The 6,787-nt window shown below is 38.7% G+C and overlaps 2 annotated features.

Moving 5' to 3' along the window:
• Positions 655–734: a silencer, noted in NCBI's record as "silent region_11504". NCBI's record gives its function as "represses an Ori minimal core promoter by ATAC-STARR-seq in GM12878 lymphoblastoid cells {active_cell/tissue: GM12878}" and the evidence as "EXISTENCE:reporter gene assay evidence [ECO:0000049][PMID:35858748]".
• Positions 2,982–3,182: a silencer, noted in NCBI's record as "peak3708 fragment used in MPRA reporter construct". NCBI's record gives its function as "represses an SCP1 promoter by STARR-seq MPRAs in K562 erythroleukemia cells {active_cell/tissue: K562}" and the evidence as "EXISTENCE:reporter gene assay evidence [ECO:0000049][PMID:32103011]".

The raw sequence follows: 6,787 nt of genomic DNA on the forward strand, positions 1-6,787 counted from the left end.
ACAGGACTAGATTGTGACCAAAACTGAAAATACATGTCATCAAAAAGACAGTTTCCTATTAAATTTCAAGAAAGGTACACTTTCTGGGAAAGAGATAAAAAAAACTAATGAATTATTAAGTACATCCACAATACAAAATCCTCCCCCCTTCTTCTTTTCTTTTTTTTTTTTTTTTTTTTTGGCAAGTTGTCATTATATTCTCTTGCAATTTGCTGGTTCGGGGCATAATCTATGATACAGCAGCAATAGGTAGAAACACCCAATAAAGTCAAGAGGGCCTTCAACTAAGGAAAAGGTTAAACATGGCCACTGATAACACCCATCATCAGAAATTATATTATCATGGTTTCCTTGAGCTCAAGAGAATTCTCTTCCACTGACTCATTGGCTGCCCAAATTAAAGTGTAGGTGTGCACAGCCTCAAAGAGGAAATCAAACAAGAGAGAGGGTATAAAAACAATACAAGTGGAGAAGCATGAGGTTTATATTTTTATGCTAATGTGCTAGTAAGAAAAGGACTCCATTTAGGGAGCAATAAAGAAAGGGTGGGGGAAAGGCTGTGAGCAGATCTCTGTAAAAAACACAGAGGCTTTCTATGCAGATGGGGGATTTAAAAGAAGTAAAATGATAACCACATAGTCAAGAGACTAGAAAAGAGACCTTGATGTTTGATAGTTGTAATAACCTGCAGAGTGCTCTAATGGCTCGGGGATCAGGTGCAGAGCTACAGCAATAACGAGAGCTGAATAATTATCTCGGCCGTATCTGTATCACCAAAGTCCCAGCGTATGAGCTATATAAGGAGGCTTCTGCTGCCTCTCCAAGATTTCCTGAAATGTTAAATCACTGATTTGGGAGCACTTCCAGCATTAGTACTGCCCAGTTAGAAAGAAATAAAGCCCAGAATTCTCCTGTGGCAGTTCTAATGTCTTTGTTAATTATGAATTATGGGTAAACATGCAGACTCACAGAGGTCATGGCTGTCAGCAACAATAGTTTTCAAGAAGGATTTTTACGAGGGTCTTTTTCACTCCACCATAATGTCCATTTTATATACATAAACAGAGCCAGGCATACAAAAAAAAACGGTGTTTGCTTTTTAGGGGAGTTGTATTTTTTTTTCTTTTTTTCTCCCTCCCCCCCTCCTTGTGTAGAGGCATGTCGCTGCAGCCAAAGCAAAGCGGTTCATAACTAGAGTTCTCCTCTGCGACTGACAACAGCTGCACTATTCCAAGGACTAGGCGAAAAGAGTCACTGGGGCTGAGGCTAGGTTAATGACCAGACACTGAAAACCACCTCCTTCTTGTTAATAGAGTAAGCGGCCAGTTGGGTAACCTGTCAGCAATGGTCACCTTTCACATACAGTGGAGAAACAAAAGCTGCATACAGTATGCTTGATTAACCTCACTTAAATGGCAATGCTGATCTCAAATCTATCCCAAGAGTGCATATAAACAGGATTAAAATTATATTATGTGTGGATCTTGCCCAACAAAAGCAACTGGCACAAAATCATTTTAATTAGGTGGTAGCGGCTGTAACTCATTCAACTTTGGCATTAATTCTTTTTGTCCCATCAAAGAACTTCTGGGACCTACTTATAGTGTGGAATAAGGGAGATGTTGAGTAGACAGCAAATCATTCTGGTGCCTCAGCTTCACGCATAGGGTATTGGCATACTGACAATTGGTTAAACTGTACAACCAGATCAGAATTTGTCCAGAATATTCAGAAAATCTGGTGCAATCTTTGTACATACCTTTTTCGAGGTAGACAGCAGATTCAGAAAAGTATTTTACTATATTGACCTTCAAACGGTCAGAGAATGCTAGTATTACTAGTTATTTTGGAGGCAATTTTCTTTGTACATAGCAAACTTAGGAACTTTATTAACCTCTGGATGTAGGAGAACTACAGTTCAGTATTAGGCCCTCTTCATTCTTCTTTCTGCCCTTTTTCTCCTAGTCCATTTAAATGAAATTTTCTTGTTGTGGGACCTGTGAGGACTTCCCAGGTTCCAGCTTAGAATAGATGTTACAGTAAAACCTCCCCACTGACCTTTCTTAAGAAATGTCATTTGTTTACTTGAATCGATTTTCAAGATGAAAGCTGAGTAGGGTTAATTGTACCCTAGATCACATAAGAGAAGGTTCACAGTGAAGAAACTTTCTCTTCATTTTTACAGGAAACACAGAAATGATATGAAATGAAAATCCATAGAGCATGCAGATAACTCCAATATCCAGAAGATGGTTCCTCCCTGCCCAAGTGCTTACCAACAATGGGGCCTCACTGTACAGACCTGAGTTAACTGCAAGCCCTTCCATTTTAAGAAATATTCTATTTTAATTCCGGGTTTCTAATAGCATAGCACCAAAGAGTTAGCTGATCCTTCTCAATAGATTCAGAAGGGCATAGAAGGAAGAGTCCCACAGATGTTGCTCCTAGGCCCAAGCTTCTCCCACACCATTCCCTATTCCCACAGCCTAGCTGAGCCCCATATTTTACCCTGCCCTTGTAAAGAGAAGGGGTAACCAAAGGCAAGGTACATTTTTTTTTTTACAATAACTCATAAGCAATTCAGCAAACCAATGTGGCTCAAGTATCCACCATGGAACAGGCATTACCTTCCCAATCATCCCATGAACCTCCACCACACAGTTCCTTAACCCTGGGGAGCACTGAGATTGCACCTATACCTAGGCCCATCCCCAAGAATTCTAATGTAACTGGTTATACAGTCAGTAAATATTTATTACTACTATGTTATTATTAACCATCACTACCTAGATAACAAAGCAAATCAACAAGTCAGAGTGTAAAAAGGGAATCTGCCACTGGCTTTAACTCGGAATTCTTAAAATATTTAGAGACATAGATGATTTTCTGACTTAGAGAATAATAACTTACAGGAATTCTGACCATAAATATCTTCAAGTTCTAGGGAAGCTTAGTAAATAAACCCGACTATTCTGAATAATAGATAAATATACAGAAGTGGTAAGAAAGAAAACGCTTAATTCAATGTGAAAACCAAGTGAAAGTTAAGGCAAAGTCTCTTGGGATGACACAGGAAAAATGTGGTTTGGCTTCCTTGATAAGCCACGTGGATGTTAAAGAAGGTGGTAATGAGAGAAAAATCCAGAGCCAATAAAACGAGCTACTTTGCTAGCCAACTTTTGAATTTTTTTTAAAAAAGGAATTGTTTTATAGCATCCAAAAACCAATTCTCATTTCATAATTTCTTAACCCTGTTTGGATTAAGAAACCAAATCATATTTCTTAGGAACAAAATAATGTAAACCTTACTGTGTTTAAAAAAAAAAAAAAAAAAAAAAAGTCGTCTTTTGCACCTCATAGCCAGAGCTCAGAGAACCTCAGGAGTCAAGAGGGAAAAGGTGGGGTTGATCTCAAGTTTGGCAATGGCTATTGTGAGGGAGGCGATTTGACCCACTCAAATGTCTCCCTGAATCAAGCTTCTATTTTCTCTCTATTCTTATTTTCACTTTTGCATTTTAATGTTGCCTGAATCTATTCCAAGTGTCCTTTGCCATGGCAACACCTGCAGGTGAAGGCCCTGCTCCTCGCTGCCAGCGTCGCCAGTGACGAAGAGGCAACTAATCACTGCACAAGGAGAGGAATGCAATCTCCAAGACACCCATGAACAATTTGAGTATAAGGGTGTCCCTGAAGCACCCTCTTCTCACAGGTGTTTAACCTGTTTAGCCATACACCAGGAAAAGAGAAAGTAAACAAAGACCCTTTCTTTCCCTGTTGTTTGCATTTTATCACTCATCTCCCCAAGACTGATTTATTTTCTAAATTTGCATTAACAGCCCCAACGTGTCAGAGTTATTTCAGCAGCATGTAATAGGGCCCCAACAGTGGAGAAGGAGAGCTCTACTTGTTCTCCCTCCTCCACACCTCTGAGCCCATGAGGATCTGAGGCCAACTCTAATGCTACCCCTTCTATGCCAAATGACAATTTCCAGGGCCAAGGCATATGACATTCCTGCCTTCTAGGCCTTTGCCAATCATTCCACATTTCTGAAAAGACTCTTATTCAGAGATGTTTTCAGTCAGACCACCTATGCTTCCTATTCATGCTGTCAATAAAAATAGAATGCTATCCACTTCTGTATGATGTTACAGCCTTTCAACTCAGGCCCTTAACGCACTTCATGAACTTTCTCTGGGTGCCAAGTACTGCTCTTCTCCCCCTTCTCCCAGTGGACAAGCAGGCATACAAGAGTCAAGAATCTGACCCAAAGCCTGACTTAAATAAGTCAACACTAAGGATAGAAAAAGCCTTGAAAATCTGATGTTCTAACCATCCACTTACCCAGCCTCTCTTTGTTCGTTATAATTTCTGCAATACCTTAGCAGGTCAAGGAGACCACAGCTGGCAAAGTACTATTGTTATCTGTGGAGACTTGTTGCAGTGTTCAGTGTGATTTAAACTTCTATGTAAACTTGCTGTTTCTTTTCATTTACAAAGTTAATATATTATCCTCTAAAGTTGGCAATAGGTGGGTCTGACTCACCCTGATTGGGCAAAGATAATCACAGGGCTTCAGCTTTTTGTAGGCCATGAGAATCTAAATTCACCATATAAAACCTCCATGTTTAATTGTTTTGTTTTTAGGAAGTCCCTTCTAGAAACATAGCTGCCAGTGATGTTGTATTCATTCCCCCTCCAAACGTAAAATCAAAACTTTCAAGAGGACGTTTTGCTCTGGAAACTTCTGAGATCAAAGGTCAAAAGGTTCGTGATGGGCAATTGGCTGTTAGTCTCCTGAGTCATCTTGATGGACTAAAGAATGTTCCCGGTGGCTACTCATTCCTCCCCACCCTACTCCCAGTGCCCATAAAGTCAGTTTGACTGCCCTCCCCCAGCTTTCCTGAATAGTAAATTTCCACTTTCATTGTTGGGATAATTTTCCTTCACAAGAATTAATTCTCAATGGTTTTTCAGTCCTTATTTTAAAAATCCATGATTCACTCCTAATGACTGGTCCTGTCAGTTCTGCCTCCTAAATATATCACAGATACCTCTCCCCTCTCTAACCACACTGTCCCTTTAACCAAGTCCTTCCTTGTAATTACAAGTGAACTATGCCACGGTTTATGCTCCTCAAGGGCCAGGATTTTTGCCTGTGTTCTTCACTAATAGAGTTCAAGCATCTAGAACAATGTCTGGCACATAGTAGGCGCATCAAAAAATACAGGTTAAGTCAATGAGTGATTAACAGAATTTCACGAAAGAATGAGTGAACAGACAAGTTCAATACTCTTAAAACGAAACTCCCAGTTTTCAGCCTCACATCTCTCCTCTCCAATCTCCATACCAGAGCCAGAATAGAACTTCTAAAATACACATCTAATCATATAATTCCATCCCTTAAAGTTTCTCAGTAACTCGTTATCCACTACAAGCTAAAATCACTCAACAAATAAGGCTATTCAGGATCTGGCCCCTGTCCCATTTCCAGCCTCTCGTTATTCCTCCCATACACAACATGGACTCTAACCATGCTGAGCCGCTTTCATTTTCTCAAACACATCATTCTCTTTTACATTTGCTCCCTGGCTAATGCTGCCCTCTCTGGTTTAATACCTTTGCTTGCCCTGTTTACCTGTCATTCTCTACTTCTACTTTGGCACTTCTATTAATATTGTTCTTTCTGACATTTCCTGGCCAGTTCGTGCTTTCCCTTCTGTGTTTCCATAGCTACATGATTACATGGCTATCTTCCCAATAGACTGGGAGTCATCTTTCATTTTGGTATAATCTACACCTAGCACAATGTCTGGCACAAAGTAAATGTTCAATAAATGATCAAATGAGCCCATAGCACTACCATAGGAAACTCAATGAATTTAGAATTCGAAATTATTTTAGAAATCCTCTAACACCACCTTCAGACTCCTGGCCTGCCTCTTCTTAGCTTTGCCACCCGGGGAAAGTTATTTAATCTGTCTTTGTTTCAGTTTGTTTATTTGTAAAATGGGGATAATAGTACTTTTCTAATAAAGTTATGAGTATCAAGTGGATTAATACACTTAGATTGCTTAGAAAAGTTTCTGAATCTGAGTTAACTCTCAATATATGCTTGTTATTTAAGGGAGGGAATTATGCAAAAATATAAGATACAGAACCTCAGATACATTAAATGTTAAATTATTTGTTTAAAGATGCACTACTAGTATAATCAAGATTATAATTAAAGTTTCCAAACCTCTCATACACAGTATAACCATAACCATATGATGCTCGTTTCCAAATGAATTATGAAAACTTCTACATATGACATAAAGATATAAACGTATTCCATGTAGAAGATCATTTAAATTTTGAATTTAAGTTTTTAGATCCCCAATTTATATATTTATGCTGTGTACATGAAGTACAAAAAGAGAAATTTAAAATAATAGCATGAAAGATAAATACACATACAAGTTCCAGTATTTTCTGACAACAAATGGATCATGGCACACTCCTCACTTAGAAGAGTCCTGGAATTTTTCACATAGAATTATAGTTTGGTTTTCACATATCTAATTTTCCTTCTAAATTGTGAGCTAGTTGAAGACAAGAACAGATTTGAACAAGACTTGAAAATCTTTGGATTTAAGTGCAATTGCCTAATATCATGCTGAGTTCTTAGTAAATACATAGTAAGTATTCCTTGTATTCAAAAAGGATGTGCCATCAGGGTGTAAGCTAAGAAAGTGTAGTAGTGTCAGCTTTTATGGACATTTGAGCTGATTCCAACAGCCCCTAGTT

This window comes from Homo sapiens, chromosome 2, assembly GCF_000001405.40.
Source record: "Homo sapiens chromosome 2, GRCh38.p14 Primary Assembly".
Lineage (NCBI taxonomy): Eukaryota > Metazoa > Chordata > Mammalia > Primates > Hominidae > Homo > Homo sapiens.